Raw genomic sequence first — 25,228 nt, forward strand, 5'->3', positions numbered from 1 at the left:
GCAAGCTCCGCCTCCCGGGTTCACGCCATTCTCCTGCCTCAGCCTCCTGAGTAGCTGGGACTACAGGCACCTGCCACCTTGCCCGGCTAATTTTTTGTATTTTTGGTAGAGATGGGGTTTCACCGTGTTAGCAAGGATGGTCTCGATCTCCTGACCTTGTGATCCACCTACCTCAGCCTCCCAAAGTGCTGGGATTACAGGCGTGAGCCACCACACCCAATCACTGATTTTAGTGGTTTGATCTTGCTTTCCTAGTTCATTAAAATGCCTTGTTATTTATTTGAAGTTTTTCTTTTTTTTTTTTTTTTTTTTGATGTAGGAGGTTATAGCTCTAAACTTCTTTGTAGTACTGCTTTTGTTGTATCCCATCAGTTTTGGTATGATGTGTTTTCATTTTCATTTGTTTCAGCAAATTTTTAAATTTTCTTCTTAATCTCTGTATTAACCAACTGGTCATTCAGGAGCATATTGTTCAATTTCCATGTTTTTGTATAGTTTCCAAAATTCCCTTTGTTATTGATTTCTAGTTTTATTCCATTATGGTCAAACATTCAAGTTTTTTTAACGTTTTAAGACGTGTTTTGTGGTATGTCCTTGAGAATGATCCATATGCTGAGGAAGAAAATGTGTATTCTGTGGTCCTTGCATGAAATGCTCTGTAAATATCTATTAGATCCATTTGGTCTATGGTGCAGATTAAATCTGATGTTTCTTTGTTGGTTTTCTGTCTGGAAGATCTGTCCAGTGCTGAAAGTGGAGTGTTGAAGTCTCTAGCTATTATTGCATAGGGTTCTATCTTTGTCTTTAGCTCTAATAATGTCTGTTTCACAAATCTGGGTGCTCCAGTGTTGGCTGCATATATATTTTGAATCGTTATATGCTCTTGCTGAAATGACTCCTTTAACATTTTATAATGACCTTGTCTCTCTCTTCTTACAGTTTTGAAATCTATTTTGTCTACTCCTGCTCTTTTTCCATTGGCATGGAATATCTTTTTCCATCCCTTTATTTTCTATGTGTGTCTTTATAGGTGAAGCGTGTTTCTTGAAAGCAACAATGCATTTTAATGAACTATAAAAGCAAGAGCTTTTTTTAAAAAACATTTAACCCCTCTATGTCTTTTGATTGGAGAATTTAGTGCACTTACATTCAATGTTATTATTGATAAGTAAGGACTTACTCCTACCATTTTGTTATATTTTTCTGGTTGTTTTGTGGTCTTCTCTTTCTTCTTTCCTTTCTTCCTGTCTTCCTTTTAGAGAAGATGATTGTCTCTGGTGGTGTGTTTTCATTTCTTGTTTTTTATTGTCTGTGTATCCTTTGTATGTTGTTTATTTGAGGTTGTCATGAGGCATGCAAATAATATCTTATAACTCATTATTTTGAACTGATGCTAACTAAACACTGGTTGCATAAACAAACAAGCAAAGAGAAAACTAATAAAAACTCTACACTTTAGCCTCATCCCCTTGCTTTTTAACTTTTTGTTTTTTCTCTTTATATCTTATTGTACTATGTCTTGAAAAATTGTTGTAGTTATTATTTTTGATCTGTTCATCTTTTAGTGTTTCTACTCAAGATATGAGTAGTTTACACACCACAATTACAGCGTTACAATATCCTGTGTTTTTTCTGTGTACTTACTATTACCGGTGAATTTTGCACCTTCAAATGATTTCTTCTTGCTCATTAATGTCCTTTTCTTTCTGATTGAAGAACTTTCTTTAGCATTTCTTGTTGATGAAATCCCTTAACTTTTGTTTATCTGGGAAAGTGTTTATTTGTCCTTCATGTTTGAAGGATATTTTCTCTGGATATACTATCTCGGATAATAGTTCTTTTTCTTCAGCACTGTATATATGTCATGCCACTCTCTCCTGCCTGTAAGGTTTCCACTGAGAAGTGTGCTGCCCGATTTATGGGAGCTCCATTGCATGTTATTTGTCTCCTTTCTTTTGATGATTTTAGGATCTATTCTTTATCTGTTACTTTTGGGAATTTGGTTGTTAAATGTCTTGAGGTAATCTTATTTGGGTTAAATCTATATTTATATTCTATATTTCTTGTATATTGGTATCTTTCTCTAGGTTTGGAAAGTTTTCTGATATTATCTATTTGACCTTTTAAGGCTGTTTTCTTTTTTTCTTTTTTTTTTTTTTTTTTTGAGATGGAGTCTTGCTCTGTCACCCACGCTGGAGTGCAGTGGCATGATCTTGGCTTGCTGCAAGCTCCGCCTCCCAGGTTCACGCCATTCTCCTGCCTCAGCCTCCTGAGTAGCTGGGACTACAGGCGCCTGCCACCACGCCCGGCTAATTTTTTGTATTTTTAGTAGAGATGGAGTTTCACCGTGTTAGCCAGGATGGTCTCAATTTCCTGACCTCATGATCCGCCTGCCTTGGCCTCCCAAAGTGCTGGGATTACAGATGTGAGCCACTGTGCCTGGCCTTAAGGCTGTTTTCTATATCTAGTAGGCATGCGTCATTCTATTTTATTCTTTTTTCTTTTGTCTCCTTTGTGTATTTTTAAATAGCCTGTTTTTAAGCTTACTAATTGTTTCTTCAGCTTTATCATTTCTGCTCTTAAGAGACTGATGCATTCTTCAGTATGACATTGCATTTTCTAACTTCAGAATTTCTGCTCGATTATTTGTAATTATTTATGTCTCTTTGTTAAATTTTTCTGCTGGGATTCCAAATTCCTTCTCTGTGTTATCTTGAATTTCATTGGATTTCCTCAAAACAGGTATTTTGAATTCTCCATCTGAAAGGTCACATACATATTTTCCTCTCCAGGTTTGGTCCCCGATGCCTTAATTCATTTATTGAGGATATGTTTTCCTTAATGGTCTTGATTCTTATGGATATTCCTTGGTGTCCGGGTGTTGATTAATTAAATATTTATTGTAGTCTTGGCACTCGGGGCTTGTTTGTACCCATCCTTCTTGGGAAGACTTTTCAGGTATTTGAAGGGACCTGACTATTGTGATCTAAGTTTTTGGTCACTGCAGTCGTATCTTCACTAGGGGCATCCCAAGCCCACTAATGCTGTGGCTTTTGCAGACTTGTAGGGGAACTGCCTTGGTGGTATTGGATAATATCTGGAAGAATTCTCTGTATTGTCAGGCAGAGACTCTTGTTCTTCTTCCTTACTGTCTCCTAAACAGTCTCTATTCTGTGTGCTGAGCTACCTGGAGCTGGGGAAGGGGTGATGTAAATGCTCCTGTGGCGACCACCACTGGGACTGCGCTGGGTCAGACCTGAAGGCAGCAGAACACTGGTTCTCATACAAGGCGTATGGTAAACACTGCCAGGCTATTGCCTGTGTTTGCTCAAGGCCCTAGGGTTCTACGGTTAGCATGTGCCAAAGCCAGCCAGGGTTGTCTTCTTCCCTTCAGGGCAGTGAGTACCCTTTGGCCTTGGGCTGATCCAAAGATGCCATCTGGGACCCAGGGCCTGGAGTTGGTAACCTTAGAAATCTGCCTAGTGCTTTTTTCTGAGAGCCGAGCTGGGTCCCAAGCCACAAGACAAAGTCTGTCCCACACTTCCCTCCCCTTTTCACAAGCAGAGGAGGTTCTCCGTGTGGCCATCACCACCCCAGGCCTGCAGCAAATACTGCTTGACTACTTTGATGTTCATTGAAGGCCGAAGGGCTCTTCAGGCAGCTTGCGGTGAATGCCTCCTGGCCTGGGACTCACCCTTCAGGTGAATGTGCTCCCCTCTGGCACAGGGCAGGTCCAGAAATGTCATCCAGGAGCCAAGGCCTGGAATCAGGGACCACAAGAGCCTGCTTGGTGTTCTACCCTGCTGTAGCAGAGCTGATACCTAAGCTATGAGGAAATTCACCCTTACTCTTCCCTCTGCTTTCCTCAAGCAAAACTAGTGTCTCCCTGTAGGCATCAAAGCTGTGAATGTATTGGGTCACACCTGAAGCCAGCATATCCCTGACTGTCATTCAAGGCCCACAGCTAGTATTTCCTGGCTACCACTGCTAACTACTTAGTCAGTGCCCAAGGGCTCTTTAGTAAGCAGGTGATGAATCCTGCCAGGAGTCTGTCTTTCCCTTCAAAGCAATGTGTTCCCTTCTGGACCAGGATATGTCTAGAAATGTCATCTGGTAGTTAGGGTCTGCAGTGGGGGCTTTAGGACTCTTCATGGTGCCCTGTCCTTCTGTGGCTGAGCTGGTATCCAAGTGGCAAAACAAAGTCCTCTTTACTCTTCCCTTTCCTCTCCTCAAGTGGAAGGAAGGGGTCTCTACCTAAGCTGTGGGCTGCACTGCCTGGGTGGTGGTGGGGGGCTGACACAAGCACTCCCTTGGCTGACCCTAATGGTATCTCACTAAGTTATATGCCCCCAACCAAGTCCACTGACTCCGTGCCCACCACACCAGGAGGAGTTGCCCAGGAATGGCAGTTCTTGTGGCCGAGACTGTGTTATAAGTTGATTTAGGACTGCAGAACACTTTAGCCTGTGGTGGTGAGGTTTGCAGTGAATCAGGTACAAATTGCTGGCATATGCCCTACCTCTCTTGGTTAGGGCTTATCTAAATGTTCCCTCTGTGGGCACTGGCTGAGTTCTACCCCATATTGCTTTCTGCTATGACATGTCAGCATTGGGTTACAATGCAAAGTCCCACAATCATTGTGCTCTCTCTTCCCAAAGTGCATAGAATCTGTCTCCATGCCATGTGGCCACTGCCAGGAGGTGTATGTTGGGGGTGGGGAGTGGTGGGATAGGGATGGGGGGGATGGTGTTGGTGATTCAAAATGGTCTTTCCTACCTTCTTCACTGCTTCTTTTCAGTGGTATGAATTTAAAACCAGGTACTATGATAGCTTACCTGATTTTTGGTTCTCATGAAGGTGATTTTTGTGTGGATGGTTGTTCAATTTGGTGTTCTTGTGGGGAGGATGATCACAGTAGACTTCTATTTGGCCACCTTGTTATGCTTGCCTCCTGTAATTCCTGTTTCAGTTTATTCATCCTGAAATTAAGAAGTAGAAGAGAAGAATGGCAGATAGTGGCTTTCCTAGAGGAAAATTTTATATGACGTTTCAGAACATTATTTTTATTGTTATGAAGGAAATTTAGTACTTGTAAAAATTATCATACTGAACAGTTTTAGATCAAACCTAGGTACAACTACGGTATGATCTAAGATGACATATAGATCTTTCCCATTGTACTTTTCCAATGCAAACCACACCTCTTTCCTGTCTTTATTTTTGTTTCTACATTTTCCTTTCCCTTTTATTTCCCGTTTCCAGGCTTCTCCCTATCTTCTCTTTTTCCTTTAGTCTGTTCTACACAAATGTGTGCTTAGCAGAAAATTACAACCTATACTGGAGAAGGAAACAATCTAAATCTTTATATCTTTCAAAAATTTACCCCACATAATATTATTCATGATCATGATGAAATTTTCAAATGGTTTTGTTTTACTTCAAAAAGGAAACTCAAGAAAAGAAGCAAACTCTTAATTAATTGCTGTAATTCCCATATTTGCCTACGTGTATATGTTCCTGTTATCCTTTTAAATTAAACACATGAATATGTGAATTACACTCAAAGTATTCTTCTCTGTAAAAATTACAGTAGTCATAACTATTTATAAATGATAACCTGAAGCCCAGTTACTTCATAGTCCTTTAAATTCCATTTGATAAGCATGTTGTGTATTGTTTAGTCCTTGCTCGCTTCATTTGTTCATCAGCCATTCATCCAAAAAAATTTTGAGGATCTGCCATACGTTATGTTCTGTTTGGGCTGGGCTAAGACAATGAATAAAATGAGATTCCTGAAGTGGAATTCACAGTCCAATTAGAGAAACTGGTGTGCAGATGAACCGATAAGTTATACTGTAGTGTGGTAAGTATTACAGTTGAGGTGCAAGAAAACTGCCCTGGGAATCTTAAATTTGCCTGTTAAGATCAACATTTGAGAATGTTTTACATTGGAAGCAATTTTGTTTTTCAAGAATGAAGAGGGATTTGTGGCCTGTTGCAGTGGCACATGCCTGTAATCCCAACACTTTGAGATTCCAAGGCGGGTGGATCACTTGAGGTCAGGAGTTTGAGACCAGCATGGCCAACATGGTGGTGAAACCCCATCTCTACTAAACACAAAAAAAATTAGCCGGGTGTGCTGGCACATGCCTGTGATACCAGCTACTTGGGAGGCTGAGGCACGAGAATCGCTGGACCCTGGGAGGTGGAGGTTGCAGTGAGCCGAGATCGCATCACTGCACTCCAGCCTGGTTGACAGAGCAAGACACTGTCTCAAAAAAAAAAAAAAAAAAAAAAAAAAAAGAGGGATTTGCTAGTTAGAGAAGATAGTAAAGGGTATTTCCAGCAGAGGGATTTATATATGCATGTAAGGCACTGTTAGAGAATGATGTTACAAAGTTGAGTAAGATGGTTCCTGTTTGGAAGGAACCCTTCTTGCCACTTGGGAGATGGACATGAAAACAATTAGCCACCACTCATTTTGGATAGTGATATTGTAGGTTAAGATTCTACAGGAACATAGGGAGATAGTATTTCTCAATTTGTCTCAACTGGAAAAGCTTTATAGGACATACAATCGTAGTGCTGAACAAAATAGTTCCTGAGGTGAATGACCTCAATGATCACAAGATAATAGCCACTAACATTTATTGGAAGGTTACTCTGTGCTAGCCACTGTTCTAAACACATTACATGCATTCTCTGATTTAATGTTCACAACCATCTGAAGTAGATACTATTATTGAAGCCTAGTTAAGGGAAAAAATGTTGAAGCTCCAGATGGTTAAATAACTCCTCTACTCTCTCATGGAAATGACAGAACTGGGTGTTGAGCTGGGACAGTTTGACTCTAGATTCTTTGTCCACATGTATATCCCATGAAAATGGAACTTATTAAATGGCATATTGTCATTTTATATAAAATTTGAACAGTTTTATCCTCACTTCCATTTGTCACCTCTTTAAGTACATTTCTCACTATTCTTCAGTGTACATTTTCTAATCCAAACTGACTAAATTGTACACTCTTTTCCAACGTTATCTTTGTAAACTTACTACCTCTGTGCATTTAATAGTAAACAACCTAAAATATCAAGTTCTTCAGTATTTTGAATAGTTAACTGTACACATTTCTTTATATGGGTGTGGGATTATAGAAAATTTAACATTTATTGACTGTCTCTCCTAGCAAAGGAACCATAGTGGGTGGTTCTTCATCACAACATTGGAAAATACATATTATTAAAGAATGTTATAGCTAAGAACAGTGCAAATAAACCATTTGTCCAAGTTCACACAGCAGAATCTACATCTACAGTTTCTTCACACCACTTTTTATATTCTTTTCCTTTGCATATCCCACCTCTCAAACTAACTGGAAGCCACAGGCAATCTTGCTGCCTCTCTCAACTTAGCTAAGTCTCTCCCTTGCTGTTGCTCTTGTTTGCCTGCTGATGCTGGAAGGTTCAGGCATCCACACTAATTCAGTAATTTAGAAATGTATTTAATTCAGTAATTAGGATTTCTTTAATGCCAGCACTTAGGCCTCAACTACTGAGGTATGGCGTGTTCACTGACAACCACATGAAGTGACAGCTGACAGCAAGGGAGAAGACAAAATACCTATAAAAAGCAGACAGAAAAACTATTAAATGACAGCAGACTGGGACCATGAGCCTTTCCTGGTATTCTCTCTGTGCATTTCTCTCCAACTGAAAACTGACAAGCAAGAGCAGAGCAGCTGTCCACCCCCTTTTCTCCATGACTATTTTCTGCTCATTGAACACAGAAAGAAAAAGTGGGGGAGGGAGAGTTATTTCTCCAGGCCTTTCAGTTTGCTCTGTGTTTAGTCCATGACTGCTTCTTTTTCCTTATAAAGATGGCTGTACAACAGACCAAGGCAATGCTCAGCTCTCAGCAACTTTGTTAACCAATTCAAGGTGGTTTCCCAAGGAGGCTTCCTTACGGCATCATTCTGTTCTTGCAGACTGCTTTTCTGCAGTGAACTCTTATTCATTCTGCCAGGTTCAAAGGCTACTTTTTCCCTGTTGCTTTCCCTGGTCAAATGGGTCTTCAAAAACAAATTCTGGAGATGAGATCTCTGACTAACATTAGGAAATCTTGGTGCACTTGCAGGGTGATGTTTGAGATAACAAATCTGGCACCTGGACATGGCACTGGAGTGGGAGAAGTTTGGGGCAGGGGCATGAGCTATATGACTGTTTTAGCAACCAAGAAGTAAGATAACTAAAACTTAGAAACTATTAATAGCTATGGACATACAAGGGAAGGAAGGCGGAATCAGTGAGCATTGATGTTGGAGTCAAAGGATTGACTGGCTGATAAGCCTAGGAAAGTAGAGAATGGCTCTGATGATAGAAAAATAGGAAAGAGCCTCTTTGTGATGCAGTGTATTATTTCTATCTTTCCCATGTTTATTTTCATGACACAGTGGGATGTATAAGTAGTGATGAGTTTTAAGCAACAGAAATATAAATATGGAAAGATGAGCTTTCTAAGATTGTCAGTGAGGAGAGAGGAACCAGAAATACATTATTGCACTATGGGGTTAATGACAAAAGAAGGAAGAGGTAGAAAAGAAGGGATGGTGATCATTGTTTAAGTAATAGTTCAGGAAGATGGATAATGGAAAGGAATTCGGGGGAAATTTACAGGCAAAGTGGGAATATCTGCGAACCAGGTTGTTGGGTCCTAAGGAGGGAATGTGATTTGTTTCTTGGCTTTGTTTCTTAGATTTTATTTTCGTAAAATTTGCCTTTTTGTTTTGGATTTCTGGAGTTAATACTTCTGTTGCGTACTTTTCTTTGCCTCTATTTCTCCTCATACTTGTTTTCCACTCTTCCTCATGAAACATAATGTTTTTATCTGTTTTTCCTAATCCCAGTATAAATCTTGGCATCCACCTTTACAACACCTTGAACCAGATAAATTCTACAGCTTCTACTGCTCTGAGAACTATAGACATTTGTCAGAAACTGCCTGTGAGAGACCATCAGCTTTTTTCAGAGTGGGTAGGAGAATCTGAAGCTCTAGTGTGGTGCTTAATGGCAATGAAAACGCGTCAGTGTGCTTGATTTGGAAACAGGCACTGCCACTTACTAGCTAAGTGACCTTAGGAAAGTTATCTAACCTCTTACATCTCAGGTTCCTTATCTGTTAAATAGGAAGGACAATAATATTACCTCATAGGGTTTTCATGATGGTAAAAATAAAGAAAATATTTAGTGGTCTAGTCCATGGTAAATGTTATATGAGTGTTTGGTGCCATTATTATTGTTATTGTGTTCTTGTTATTCTGATGTATCAGTATATAGAGTTAAAACATGTGTATCGCTTAGGAATATATCCAACTTTTAGACCTAATTTTATTTTTTAGTATATTTGAGAAAGTTATCCTTAAAGCAGTTGCTTTTATTTTAAAAATAAAATGTTTAATTCTGTCTCTGTAAAGAATGGATAATGATTACATGAAAACATATTTCAGAAAGAATGGGGATAAGTAGCATTGTTTAAATCTAAAAATTATATAAATAACATGAAAGATACATGGGGAAAAAATTAGGCTACATATAGTGTTACAGTCATCAAAATGTACCATATTTAGCTTAAAATATTCTGCAATACTAACTGTTATATGGGAACCAATTAAAAAGGCATTCTTGAGGATATTTCATTTCTTATCAGGTAAATAAATGCTCTGCCCTCCATAAATCTACCACTATTTCATTTTGGGGAAGGTCTTGTTTTGATTTTCATTGATGCACAATAAAAAGTGACTCAAGTCAATTGTTTCCATTGTCTTTCCTATGTGTATTCATTTGTCATTTATTCTTTAAGTGACCTGCCTTCTGACAATCCTTCCAAGCTTCTTATAGTAGCAAGTATCCAATATGCTGACCTTACATCAAAGTTACTTTTTCTATTGTTTGATGTTATTATCTGTGCTTAAAAAATGACTCGTGTAAATATGTGTCGGTGTACATGTTAACATGGCATTTTCTAAATTGGGTGGCTTTGTAACACATCTTCCTCAATTTAAGCAAATACTGCCTCAAAATATCTTTTAAAAAAGCCTCATGTATGGAGGTTGCAGTGAGCTGACATTGAGCCACTGCACTCCAGCCTGGGCGACAGAGCGAGACGCCATCTGAAAAAAAAAAAAAAAAAAAGCCTCATCTAGCAGTTTACAGCAGATGATCTGTGTAAGACAAAATTAATAGCTGTATCTGGAGTACTCTAAATGTGGATTTATACACTAACCTATATATTGATCAATTCCTCTATGCTTGCTTTGGTTTTGAGCAAATTATATTTAAATAAGTTTGTTGCTAGGAATGTCTTAAAAAGCTACTCACCCTTTTTGTTAGAAGTAAGTAAAATGATTATGTCAGGACCTGCCATTAACTTGGTATAGTACGAATATATCCTCAGAATACTGATAAAATGGTATGTCTTGAAACAAATCACAAACTGTCAATATGTTGGTGATGAATTTCTTCTGTTTTCATTTGGATCAGTAGGTGGGGCAGTTCACCAAGTGTGAGATCGACATTTAATGTTTTCATGAAATGCAAACCCATCAGTGGCTAATTTGTGAAAAATAGATGTTGGGCTTTTCTTAAGGCTAAATTGTTCCCATTTGTTTTAGAGAACAACTCACTTAGCCTATGAGTTTATGCAATTTGGCAGAAAGTGAAAACATATTTGGAAGTATTGAAAGTCACTCATTGTTGATCTTTTATATTGGAATGCCAAGGTTGCATCATCAGAGTGTCGTTATGAAAAAAATCAAATAAAATTAGAAGAAAGAATCAGCCTTCTTTATAAACAGAGAGATACTATATATTTTAGGCTACTGATCTTTACTGTGTCTGTATAAAACGTTGGTCATGTTGATGGAGTTTATGCTTTCTCTCTTCAGGTTCATTCTGACATGTCAGGATATGGAAAGTCCTTTTTTCCCCCCTTAATAGTTTGAGACTGTAGCCACTGTTTCCAGAATGGAGTGCTATTGATACCTTTGACAAGTTGCTTGCCACAAAGAAAATTGCTCAAAAGGAGCTGCCCAATTCTTAGCTGCTATGTATTTAACTGTTGTCACGGCTTCTGTTGTTTCCAAGCTGTCCCACCATAATGTAATTTGTTTTAATCTCTTAAAGTATATCATTGCTTACATCATTATGCCCATCTACTTTGTTTATAGCTGCCTCAGCTCATGCTGCAAGTCTTCATGGTTGTGTGATAAGAAAGAGAATATATCAGTTTCACGGAGAAACGTGGTGGTGGTCTAGTCTTGCTGGTTAATGTTGAATGTGACTATTTTTTAAATCCTTGGCACGACTGGCAGTCTGTGAGGTGTGTCACGGGCCTCCATCATGGTGGTGGGTATGAAGCTGTGCACTACTTCTGTTTTTAACACCTTCCTTGGAGCTGCCTGAAGAAAATTGCAGGAATTTTTTAGGCACATCTACTGGAAAGTGCTTATTTTAATATTTGTCAACATAATTACCAGAAAACATTAACCCTGAAGTGTGTCTCTCAATACAAACTTGATAATCACTAAATATTTTTAATATAGGCCTTTGAGGAAAACATCGTAAATATCATTAGTCTTATTTTTCTCTATGAATTTTATTTACTATACATTAGTTGTTTAGAATTATCTTTTTTCTCCTTTGTTTGATGGTAGTGAGAGAAGAACACTACTTTTTGGAAGATTATAAATAGTACATTAAGTGAAAGGTCATAAATACTGTAAAACTTCAATAAAGCACTGGGCAACAACATGAATTCACATATGCATTGAATGGGGAGGAAGAGTTAGGAAGTGACCCTCAAGAATTTGGGACCTTCTTTGTTCATTTTACAGTCATATATGTTCAATGTAAGTTCCACTGTCCTTGTTTTAATGCTTTCATGAGATGATATAGATAAATTGAAATATATGGTTTTTAACTAAATTCAAGATAACACAAGTCTCCATTTTATGTAATTTAATTTTTTAGACTCCACCTGTGATCTTATGGCGCAGCTCGATGGCAGTTGGAGGTGCAAGTGATTCCCAATAATGAATCACCTTTCAAATGTTTCAATGATGATGTGATAGAAAAGACAGCTGCAGTAGTGTGACTTAAAAAGAAATTACCTGACTGCCCTTTTTTCCCAATTACTGGCACAATCTTCATGAAATCCAAATAAACTTAATAGAAGGAGGAAAAGCCATGTGAGTGGAGCTGACCTGCCACAAATTAATTATACTTAGTACTTTGTGCCAGCATGGCATGGTGGAGAGCCAGGACTCGAGAGAAACACATAAATATAGCAGGATCTTAGTTGCCTAGGTGAGCAAGGAAATTGCTGCTTGCAAAACATGTTGGAAGTTATTAGTTAGCATAAGATGTTTTAGCATTTGCATTTATTAATCTGACTTATGCATTTAAAATATGTTTCTGTATTTTACAAGACCAGATCTGGAGGAGGCTAAATGCCCCAAGTTTCCTTTCACACCAACATCATATGCTCATATATATTCAGTTGATTAATTATTTTAAATAAAGTGCAGCTGTCTTGTCATGTTAACAGGCCTCTAATTTTATTTGCCTATTCATATGTGAAACAGGAGAGGCTAGCATCTTAAAAATTCAGTGTAAAAGTTTATATGTACATGTTTATTTTATAACATTTTGGGGTGATTTTTAAAAATTATTTTTCAGACATTGTCAAATAAGGTAGTAAAACAAGATTCAGGTATTATTGGTTCTTCATTTTTATTTTTATGAGAAGTACTGCATTTGCTTTGCTGCTATTGCGACAGCATTGCCAGTAGACCAACATATACCACATATACTTTTGCTTTTAAATCCTGCTTAAGATACATTGATTTTAATAGAGGAAATTAGTGATATATTAAAAACCCATGAGCTTAATTAGCCATTCACGAATGACTAGTGCTATATTCTATTTGTTATTGTTTTAATTAACAGACTACTTTTTAAAGAGCATTTTAGGTTTACTGGAAAATTGCATGGAAAGTCCTATGTATATGCTCATCTCCTCCCTGCTCTCCAGTTTCCCCTATTATTATCTTGTATTAGTGTGGTACATTTTTTACACAATAATCAATATTGGTACATTACTAAAGTCCATAGTTCAGAGTTTACTCTCTGTGTTATATAGTTCTATGTGTTTTGACACATCATGTATCTACCATTTTAGTATCTTACAGATGGGTTTCACTGCCCTAAAAATCTTCCGTGCCCTACCTATTCATGCCTTCATTCCTCCCTCCAAACCCCTGACAACCACTGGTCATTTTTCTGTCTTCATGGTTTTGCCTAAATCTTTCCGGATTCTTTCACTGAGCTTCTGCTTCTTTCACTGAGCATTTAAGGTTGTTCCATGTCTTCCAATGGCTTGAAATCTCATTTCTTTTATCGTTGAATAACATTCCACCGTGTGGATGTACCAGCACCTACCAAAGGACATCTTGGTTGCTTCTAAGTTTTAGTAATTATGAATAAAGCTGCCATAACCGTTTGTGCTCAGGTTTTTCCTGTGTGTGTGGATATAAGTTTTAAACTCATTTGGATAAATACTAAGGAGTATGACTGCTCAATCATGGTAAGAGTATGTTTATTTTTATATGGCTGGTGCTACTTTATCCCTATCCCTCCAGTTTTATTTTGTTTTGTTTTTTGATATCGGATTAATAGAATTGAACTAATCACAATCCCTTTGTTCTTAACCCACTCTTATCATTGATTTGAGGGTGACTTTTTATTTAATTAGTTATTTATGATAATATAGTAAGTACTTCTGACCTCACCACCCAATACAAAATCTAGATCCTTGACAATCACATATTTCTTAAGTGTGTGTACTCCTTTGCATATTCCTTGCCTCCCCTAACCTGAGGCCAGTGCTATTTTAGTTTTAAATTTAATAATGTTTCCATATATATATTCTACATATATGGATGGAATTCTAATATATATACGGAATATATATATTCTAAGAGTTCAATGATTATTTAAGACATACTTCTCTAGAATAATCATCCAAATAATTTAAAACAAGATTTTGCCTCTGAATATGTAATAGGCATTAATAGATTTTCACTTGGATTTTCTAACATTAGTTTTTATCCATTTTGATGCCATTCCTAGTATTAATGATAAATTTTTCATTGGCAATATAAAAAGAAAGTCTTCTGCTAAAAAAACTAAGGCTGTTAGTGAAGTTATAAAAATCACAAAAGACTAGGATTGTCGCATCATTATGTGAAACAGATCCTTGGGGGAATACATCAGATTGTAATGCCACGACTCCTGTATTTTAAATCTACCTGCACCCTAAAGCTAATGGCAATAATGCCATTTCAACTGAAACATCAACTGGATTAAAAAAAATCCTAAAGGACAAGGAAAATTCAAGCTCTTGGCTATGCAGTGCTGCAGTTGACCCATTCACTTCTCTGTTCAGGTAATCTAGTTAACACAGGCTTCAGTATCAATTCATTTTAACAAAGGATGGTTAATGTCATTGTTTGTAACATTTTCTAGTGAGAATAAACCTGAAGCATACTATATAAATAAGCCCTTGCTTGCGCTGACTCAGGAACACAATTCTTAATTTACTTAGTGCTCTCTGCAGCTACTTGTGTATGTGTGTGCATGTGTGTGTGCATGTAGGTATATCTTATGGAACTTGCTTCTAATTAACAATACATTAGTCCTCGCTACTTCTAATTAGCAATGCGGTAGCCCTGCCTTATCCACAGGGGGATATAAAACCCACAATGAAACTGCGGATAGTACCGAACTCTGTAAATACTATGTTTTTTTCAAATACGTATGTATTTACAACAAAGTTTAATTTGTAAATTAGCCATAGTAAGAAACTAACAGCTATAATAATAAAGTAGAACAATAAAAACAGTATGCCAGCATCACTACTCTTGTGCATTAGGGCCGTTATAAAATAGGGTTACTTGAACACTAGCATGTTACCTCTACAGTTGATTTGATAACCAAGACAACTACTAAGCGACTAATGGATGAGTAGCATACACATTGTGGATATGCTGGATGAAGGAATGATTTATGTTCCAGGCGGGATGGAGCAGGACACTGAGAGATTGTATCATGTTACTCAGAGTGGTACACAATTTAAAACTTATGAATTGTTTATTTCTGGATTTTTCCATTTAATATCTTTGGACTGCAGTTGACCATGGGTGACTGAAACTGTAGAAAATGAAACCATGGATAAGGAGGGACTATTATAGTTAACTTTTGGACATGTGGTGTTTGTAGTAGCAAGGTGATTTTGCAGTTGTACTCATTATCACCTACTGACAAATATTATTATATATAAGGAAGATTATTTAAGCCATCCAAGAGGAAGTTGCAAGTAAGATGGACATTACTCTTGGTTTCTTCAGATGTTCTTAACTCTTTGAGAAGTAAAAAGTCTGTCTTTACTCCAGAAGGTAAGATCTTGCTGGATGGGGACCATCTTTCATTCCTCTTAGTGTCCTTAGGGACTTATGCAAAGAAAGACTTTTTTTTTTCCTTTTTGAGAGGGGATCACACTCTGTCACCCAGGCTGGGGTGCAGTGGCACGATTACAGCTCACTGCAAGCCTTGACCTCCTGGGCTCAGGTGATCCTCGCACCTCAGTCTCCCGAGTAGCTGGGACTACAGGTGCATGCTACCACGCCCTGCTCCTTTTGGTAATTTTTATAGATTTGGGTTTCACCATGTCACACAGGCTGGTGTCGAACTCCTGGCCTCAAGAAATCCACCCGCCTTGGCTTCCCAAAGTGCTGAGATTATAGGCGTGAGCCACCAGCAAGAAAGTCTTAAGTATTATTGCTGTATGAATGGATGTTGAGAGCTTCGAGTAATGTGTTTAGACTTAATATTACAAAAGACTCTCCTAAAGAGCAAAGAATATAATGTGAATGACGTAAAGGTGTATAAATGAAATTAATAATTAATAAATTAATGAAAAGTATAATAATTTTGAAATATAAGGAATAGTTAATAAGTAGAATAGTAATAGAAATGATTAGGGAAAATAAGTCATTGGTTATTAATATGTGAGTACATTTGATAAAGAAACACGCTCTGAGGCTTGGTGAGTGGAATGTACTGTATGAATTTACACTATAGTTCCCATTCAGGAAACAGTGACTAAGCACTTCCTTTGTGCGGAGTACTTTCCCTTGTTCTGGGGTTACAAAGAGGAAATTATATGATTATTGTCATCAGGAATCTTATAGTATAATAGATCATCGTGCCTATAAAGAAACAGTCTAATAAAACAGTTGTTATAATGGAAGCATTTGCTAAGTGTCAAAGCAATGGGAATAACAGGGAAAGAAAACCTAAGTCTGCATTACTGGAGGTGAAGCTGTGAACTACTGATAGAGAGTAGGATCTATTACTGGACTGGGAATCAGAAGACCAATTTATAATCCCAGCTCTGTACTTTCTAGCCCTGACATCAAGCAAGTCAATTTACTTCTCTGAACCTTTTTCCTTCAATGTAAAGTAAGGATAATAATATTAGGTCTATCTAGTTTTAGGATTATATTCAGGATAATGAGTAACTGTGAAAATGGTTAGCCTATAAAATGCTATGTGCATTTGCATATAAGCTGCTTTCACTGTTGACAGTGTGTGGTGTTGTCCAACCTGACCACCTTTGTTTGGAAGATGGCGTGGTACTATTTTTCTTCTGGTAGGTGGAATAGTAAAAGTTCAGCTGTGAAGGTTAATTTTTGGGGAAGAAGACCTGCATTAATTCTCCAGGTAGATGTCTATACACAAATGTAAGCTTTTTATTTACAATGTAAGTTATTTACATTGTTAGCTTTTTCTCTGAAAATGTTTCAAAACTATTGATGAGCATTTTATTTTTAGTAAAGTTATTTCATTATAAAATTAATACTTAGTTGTGGAAAATCTGGAAATATCATTGGCAAATTTGGAAAAAAAAATTGTATACATCAAAAAATTATTGTCATCTGGAATTCTGACATCCCAAGATAATTATTTTTAACTTTTAAATAATATTCTCAAAATTCATCTCATCAGAGAGATTTATGTTCCTTAAAATGTTAGTATGTTGCTGGGCATGGTGGTTCACACCTGTAATTCCAGTGCTTTGGGAGGCTGAGGTAGGAGGATTGTTTCAGCTTAGGAATTCAAAACCAGCCTGGGCAACATAGGGAGACCCCATCTCTACAAAAACTTTAAAAATTAGCCAGGTGATGCACGTCTGTAGTCCTAGCTACTTGGGAGGCTGTGGCGGGAGGATTGCTTGAGGCCAGTAGTTCAAGGCTTCAGTGAGCTATGATCACACCACTGCACTCCAGCCTGGGTAAAAGAGTGAAACCCTGTTTCTTTATGTACTATAGGGATATGTTAAGTATTTGGCAATTACAAATTTTATTCACATCTAGACATTTATTTGATAATTTGGGTTTCTAACTCTTATTAGTAGTTTGAAATTATTTATTATAATGTTTTGTCATTGGAAATAATGCAGATTTTATTTTCAGACTTTAATTACTTTATCTTGGATATTAGACTTGCTATTCTTATTCTTTCTTTGTTTCTAATATTTTCTTTCTGTTTAACTTCATTCAAAATTTCATGGTTTGGGTATCATTCTGTACACCTATGAATTGATTTAGATTATTTTAAAGAGTATACCAATAATACTTACAAACACATATCTAGTGCTTGCTATGTACCAGACACTGCTCTAAGTGTTTAATGCACCTGGACTAATTCTAACAGTAACCCAATGAAAACTAATATTTTCCTCATTTTATAAATGAGAAAATCGAAGCGTAAAGAGCTTAAGTAAATTAACCAAGGTCACACAGCTAGTAAGTGGGAGAGCTAGAGTTCATACCCACACTGTCTGGATTCATAGCTCAGACTCAACTCTTTCATCATAATGCACCTCTTGACTTACAGGACATTTCGTTAGTGACAAGAATTTCCAAATGTGGCATTTCATTTTCTGTTCTAAGTATTTTTTAGGACAGTATATTGGAAGCAGATTTGCATTCATACCTATAGAAGTAAGAATGTAGTCATTAAGGGAAAAGATTATACCATGTTGCTATAAGAGATATTTTAGATTCCGTGTTTTCTTTGCAATTTACCTTTTACCTATATAAATAGTTCAAATACCTTATCTTAGCAGTGATGCTACACATAAAACATGTTTTATTAAAACATAGCTAAAGATGACAAACCTGCTTCAATATTACCAAAGAAAATCAGATTACATTTGGAATAAATAATCAACAGGCATTCAAAAATATGTAAGTACATAGTTCAGTCTTGCAAGTTATAGTCTATCTAAAAATATATAGGTAAGTAGTAGTCTGGGAAGAAATTATAGCCATCTGCAATACAGTGAGATGGATACTAGGGGTTTTCTTACATATCAACTCATGCAAGAAGATACTGATATTGTTTCTTTAGATTATATGGGCTAATCAAAGCAAATTAGAAAACTTTACACTTTTAATTTACATTTAAGGTATTTTACCTGGAAAAATATTTCGATTTTATGTGTAGATTTTGCTAAAAATATGATATTGCATTTAATGTTATCAGTTAATGTTACCAAACTCTTCTAAATGGAGAAATTCTGTGAGATCCCTGGTGTCTCTAAAACATTTGGTAATACCTTCAAATGAACATCCAGCGTATTCATATCTACACATATTCCAGAGCCAGTGTCTCTAAAACAGATAGGGATTCAGATCATTCCCACATCAGAGAAAGACATGCTTTAGTCTGTGTAGGTTAGGGAGGCAAGAGTCACCCTCTTTGTGTGTGTCAGTGATTTATCACTCTTCCACCCAAAAGAAGGCTTGTCCTCTTTCCCTCAACCCTGTTAGTGCTTGGGGGTTTGTGTTCAAACATAAATTTTGTCATAGCTATACTATAGTAGCAGACATGAATAGATTCACTTATATTTCCATTTATTTCTCCTGAGTATGATCTGATTAGAAGAGGTAAAGAAACAAAGCAACTAGCCAATATGAAAGGCATATCATTAAAGCCAGAATAAAATCTGACTGTTCTTGATTTCCATCTCAAAATAACTGATGTCTTTCCTAAGTTGAGAATGACCTGATCTGTTAAAAACAGATTAACTCATCAATTCTGACCAAATCTTCTTAAGAAGGCTAATAGGCTTCTGTTGACTAGACACCATTCCCTGTTTCATTTTTCTGATATCCTGGATGGGGGTCGGAGTGTTGTTATTCCTGAGAAAATCGATATATCACTGTATTGGAAACGTTTGCTTGTGGTAGCAACAGTCTTGATGTTTGATCATGTTAGGTTTTATGAAGTGTTGATAGATTTAGCTCCAGACTTAAGAGTTACCTACCCAGGCTGGGTGCGGTGGCTCACGCCTGTAATCCCAGCACTTTGGGAGGCCGAGGTGGGCGGATCACTTGAGGTCAGAAGTTTGAGACCAGCCTTGCCAACGTGGTGAAACCTGTCTCTACTAAAAATACAAATATTAGCTGGGTATGGTGGCATGCACCTGTAGTCCCAGCTACTCCTGAGGTTGAGACAGGAGAATCGTTTGAACTCGGGAGGCAGAGGTTGCAGTGAGCCGCGATTGAGCCACTGCACTCCAGCCTGGGTGACAAAGCAAGACTCTGTCTCACACACAAAAAAAGAGTTACAGCCGGGCGTGGTGGCTCAAGCCTGTAATCCCAGCACTTCGGGAGGCTGAGGCGGGCGGATCACGAGGTCAGGAAATTGAGACCATCCTGGCTAACACGGTGAAACCCCGTATCTACTAAAAATACAAAAAAAATAGCTGGGCGTGGTGGCGGGCCCCTGTAGTCCCAGCTACTCGGGAGGCTGAGGCAGGAGAATGGCGTGAACCCGGGAGGCGGAGCTTGCAATGGGCCGAGATCGCGCCACTGCACTCCAGCCTGGGCGACAGAGCAAGACTCCGTCTCAAAAACAAAACAAACAAACAAACAAACAAAAAAACAAAAAAAAAGTTACATACCCAGAGATCAATTGAGAATGCAATAATCTCTAAAATAAATCATTACTTTTTAGTAGTCTAGAAATCATGTGGTAATATTAATTTTTATAAGTGGTAGAACAGAGTAATAAACAGTTTCAGCCATCTTTCTCCTAAGTCTCAGTTAAGAGTTTCTCCTCCATTGTGAAAGCTGAAAATGGGAAAGAACCTATTCTTCCTGTCTAAATGTTGATATCCTTGGACTCTAGGATCCAGTAGAGACTTAGGTATCAACACCAAGTATGGCATTACCTTACAACACTCCAAACAGACCCTGATTCATAATAGTCTGTGCTCTTGCCTGAAAACTTTATATATGAACATGGATATGTTTATTTGAAGGTATGTTTAATATGGGCCATGAGGACATTATGGTTACCTAACTGAGGATAGAGATAATAAAAGCATTTTAGAATCATTGTAATCCAAACTTGAAAGTAGAAACTTCACTTTAAAAAGCAAGATAGTTTATATTTTGATAGTGCTCCCAAAAGTTGAAGATTGTTCTTATGGGGACTCATATTGTTGCATAGTTGTTAGTAAAATACCATTTATAATACAAGTTCTGTTGCCATTTGGTTAGGAAATAAAAAGTAACCAATGTAGTAAATGCTCAATAAATATATTTTGATTATTTGTTGAATGCATTAACATATAATTGTAAAAAAAGTAGAAAGCACAAATCTTAGATGGAAAGGATCATAGAACTGAAAACATAATATAATTATTTTGCAGTACATCTGAGTTATATTGTGATGTACTTTCCTAACCAAGTCCAAATTAATCAGGAGCTCTGGGAGAATCATCCCTAGAAACAATGCCTTTAAATAGAGGGTCAGAGGAATTTTCGTATTTCTGGATTTCAAACTGCAGGTGGCTCTCTTGATCTTTCAGTTCTGAATTTAGGTTAAAGACTGCTGTTCTGCCTTCTTCCTGTCCTTGTTACATCCAGACTATCAGACTTCCTGTTGAAACACTGATAATTGTCTTATTATTGGATTGTAAGCAACATCGCTTTTTCTCACATGTAGAAGATAGAGTTTTTTTTGTTTGTTTGTTTAACAAAATATATTGCTTGGCCTTCCTTTAAAATGGCTCTGATTTGCCTTTGCATGTCTTGTGTGAGGAGTTGCTAAGTATCAATGGCATTGTTGATAATGCTTGTAAAATAGCATATCAGTATTCTAGCATTATTTTAAAAGAACAAAAAACAGGTGATTCTAATCATTTTCCTTCCTCTCATTTTCTGGGTAGCATTGCTGTTTTATCTCATAATTTATTTTGTACACATCTGGTACTACAGGAATTTTAGGAGTCCCAAAATGAATATGAAAACCTGTTGATACAACTTTAGGTGGAAACCTAAGCCTTATCTGTCCTTTTATTCATTCTGATGGTTATTTTAAAGAAATTGCTGGATACCATTGAAGTATAGAGATACAAATATTTTTATAAATTATGTGCCGAAGTAAATTATAAATCACATGGCTTATAGTGTGGATTCTTAAATTATCAATCATATCACTTCATATTTTTATAAGCTGAATATCTAATTCTTTTGCAAAGTAAGTTACGTGCAACTGCTACCTTTTAAAATAATAGATAAATCTAAAATATGGTGGGTGATAAAGTGCTAAAAAGATACTTCTTAGCAATACTTAATTGTGTTACAACTGTAAGCACCAACAGCCAAAAGATTGTTTGCAATAAAGACCTTATACTAAGACATTCATCAAGTAATAAAATATAACCTCAAATGTCTAATTCTAAGTGATATGTGCCTTATAAATATACTTGTAGTAGTGCTACAAAAAAGGCACAGATACCAAACTGACCTTAAAAGTGGCACATGTGGCGTTACTGCAGCTGGGCTATTGTCTTGGAGATTCACAGAGGAGGCCTCCCAGGAATTATTTGTATGTTCCTTTTGTGTAAAGTTTTTGTCTGGAAAGTCGCTGTGCAAACAGTAGCTGTTCCATAGCACCTGCTTCTGTTGAGGGAGAGTGAGTCTTTTATTTAGAGAGCATCGGTAGCCATTTCATTCATTACTGCACAATGGACTTACATAAAGAGCAGCATTCCAATGACGCCAAAAGAAACCAGAGCTTCCAACACGCTGAGGCGCTTGTAAACATTGAGTCTCCCTATGTTTCTTTCTAAACTTTTCTTGCAATTACATCCAGGTCTTTATTTTGAGGAAAAAAATAATTGATTCAGAGCAATAATAGGAAAAGTTATAAACTGCAATTTTTAATTTAAAAAGCTGTATTATGTAAAATGCTGTGGCAATGTCATATATAAGCTTGGTCATTTACATAATTATTGCTTTAATCTTCTTAAGGTATTAGAAAATTAATTGCATTATAGAAATAAGGATGCCAAAATATTTCATAGAATTTTTTTTAATGGTCATGGAATTGTTTTCAGTGTGCCTATCTTCCTAACATTTAAATGATTTTATTATTTTCGTGGCCAATCATCTTCAATATGATGTCAATATCCAGTGCATCTGCTACTTTCCAGCCCTTTCATTGACCCCTGGCAGTGTGGTACCCATGTTTGTTACTCTACTGAAACTACTCTCTCTATTGCCTCTAGTTCCTACCTTCTAACCTTTTCTCTCAGCTATTATCATTCTTCATCTTTATGTTTGATAAGACCTTCCTGATACATCTTCTCTTGGTTTTGTTTTTGTTTTTCAAGAAACCTGTACCCATTAGCAGTCACTCCTCATCTTCCATCCTCAAACCCCTGCCCCTGTCAATCACTAACCTATTTTCTGTTTCTATGTATTTGTCTATTCTGGACATTTCATATAAATGGAATTACATAATCTGTGTTCTTTTTGTCTGGTTCCTTTCACTTAGCTTATGCTTCCAAGGTTCATCCGTGTTGTAGCATATATCAATACTTCATTCCTTTTTATGGCTGAGTAGTATTCGGTTGTATGATATACCACAGATGGTTTATCCGTTCATCAGTTGATGGACATCTGGGTTGTTTCCACCTTTTGGCTATTGCAAATAGTGCTGCTATTAGTGTTCCTGTACAAGTACTTGTTTGAATGTGTCTTTTGAATTCTACTGGGCATGTATCGGTATATATCTAGGAGTGGAATTGCTGGGTCATATAGTGATTCTGTGTTTAACATTCTGAGGAACTGTCAAACAGTTTTCCAAAGTAGCTGTACCATTTCACATTCCCACTAGCAATGTAAAAGGGTTCCAGTTTCTCCATATCCTTTGCAACACTTGGTATTGTCTGCTTTTAATGTTAGCCATCCTAATGAGTATGAGAATATTATGGTTTTATTTGCATTTCCCCAGTGGCTAATGATTTCGAGCAGCATTTCATTTATTTATTGCCTATTTGTATATCTACTTTGCAGAAATAGCTATTGAGATCCTTTACTTTTTTCTTTTTCTTTTTTTTTTTTTTTTAGTGAGACAGGATCTTGCTCTGCCACCCAGGCTGGAGTGCAGTGGCACAACCTTGGCTCACTGCAACCTCCACCTCCCAGGCTCAAGTGATCCTCCCATTTCAGCCTCCTGAGTAGCTGGAACTACAGGCACATGTCACCACACCTGGCTAATTTTTGTATTTTTTGTAGAGATAGGGTTTTACCATGTTGCCCAGGCTGGTCTCCAATTCCTGGGCTCAAGCTATCCACCTGCCTCAGCTTCCCCCTTTACTCATTTTTAATGGGGTCATCATTTTATCATTGAATTGTTGCAGATATCTCCCATTCTCTGGGTTGTGTTTTCATTTTCATGTTAGTGTCTTTTGAAACACAAAAGTTTTAACTTTTATTAAGCTAAATTGATCTGTTTTTTTAATTGTGCTTTTAATGTCATATTTAAAAAACTGTTGCCTAATCTAAGGTCACAAAAATTTATACCTCTGTTTTCCTCTAATAATTTCATTGTTTTACCTAACTTCATTTTTTTTCCATGTGGCTATCCAGCATCCCTGCACCATTTGTTGAGTCTATTCTATTTCATAATTGTCACCCTTATCCAAAATTCATTGACTGTAAGAGATTATTTCTGGATTTTTATTTTTATTCCATCAAACTGTATGTCTATCTTTATGGCAGTACCTCAATGTCTTGATTACTATAGCTTTATAGTAAGTTTTGAAATTGGCAGGTGTGTGTCCTCTACTTTTTTCTTCTTTTGATACATACTGACCTACTTAGTCTTCTGCTTTCTTATGATGATCAGCTTTTCTTCCCACTAGTTTGTGACTCAGGTTCCTTTTTAACATTCTTCAATGGTTTCCATCACACCAAGCACCGACCACCATTACCTTCTCTGATGGTTTCATATGATCCCATTTTCTTCACTTAGAAAAATATTCACAGAGTCACAAATCCTGTCTAATTAATTCATATTTATTAGATGAGGAATAAGAAATGGAGGAAAAAGTCAAAAATCTTAACACAGTTTTTAACCACCCCTGGGTTGCCCACTTAACATCATTCAAATCTGCAGCAAAACCATAGAGGAGACTAAGGTAGTAGGGATGGAGAAGAGAAATTTTTGAGAAATCCTCAAAAGGTATAATTAACGAGACTATTATTGATAGAGAAATAATTGGGTACTGGAGAGAACAGTAAAACAAGTCCATTTTGCTATATTTTGGCAAAAATTATAATCACAGCTATTTTCTTTTTTTTCTACTAATAATTGGATGGTTATGTTTAAGAACAGTATGACAAAATATCATTTTAGTTGAAAGTGCTAAAGGATGATACAAATATTTTTGATGGTTTTGTTATACTTACTAGTAATCTAATATGACAGTATTATGCGTACATGTACCATGCCTTCTCGTGGGATACAAGCTATATTTGGCAGCAGGGGGAAATAACAAATCACAAGAATAAAGAGCTCATATTTTTACATTCATATTTTCAGAATGACTTTAGTGTTTCCCCTTGTGTTTCCCATGTGTGTTTCAAATCACCTTATTCAATTTTGCTATCTCTGACTCAGATATAGTGTACTATACATATATAATCTGTCATCAGTTTCATTTTTAAGTGGAAAATTACATTAACCTCTGGATTTTCAGTGAAATGTTTTTCATGGCACTATGAAAACACAATAGTGTAAATTGT

The 25,228-nt window shown here is 36.9% G+C and overlaps 1 protein-coding gene across 2 annotated transcripts in view, besides 1 other annotated feature; it reads left to right on the forward strand.

The window, feature by feature from the left end:
* Positions 1-25,228, forward strand: part of DIAPH2 (diaphanous related formin 2) — a 920,156-nt gene that overhangs the window by 320,775 nt on the left and 574,153 nt on the right. The window lies entirely within an intron of this gene.
* Positions 21,833-22,435: an enhancer, noted in NCBI's record as "OCT4-NANOG hESC enhancer chrX:96282448-96283050 (GRCh37/hg19 assembly coordinates)". NCBI's record gives its function as "activates a minimal SCP1, AML or CMV promoter by ChIP-STARR-seq in naive and primed H9 embryonic stem cells {active_cell/tissue: H9 hESC(naive and primed)}" and the evidence as "EXISTENCE:reporter gene assay evidence [ECO:0000049][PMID:30033119]".

Source organism: Homo sapiens, chromosome X, assembly GCF_000001405.40.
Source record: "Homo sapiens chromosome X, GRCh38.p14 Primary Assembly".
NCBI lineage: Eukaryota > Metazoa > Chordata > Mammalia > Primates > Hominidae > Homo > Homo sapiens.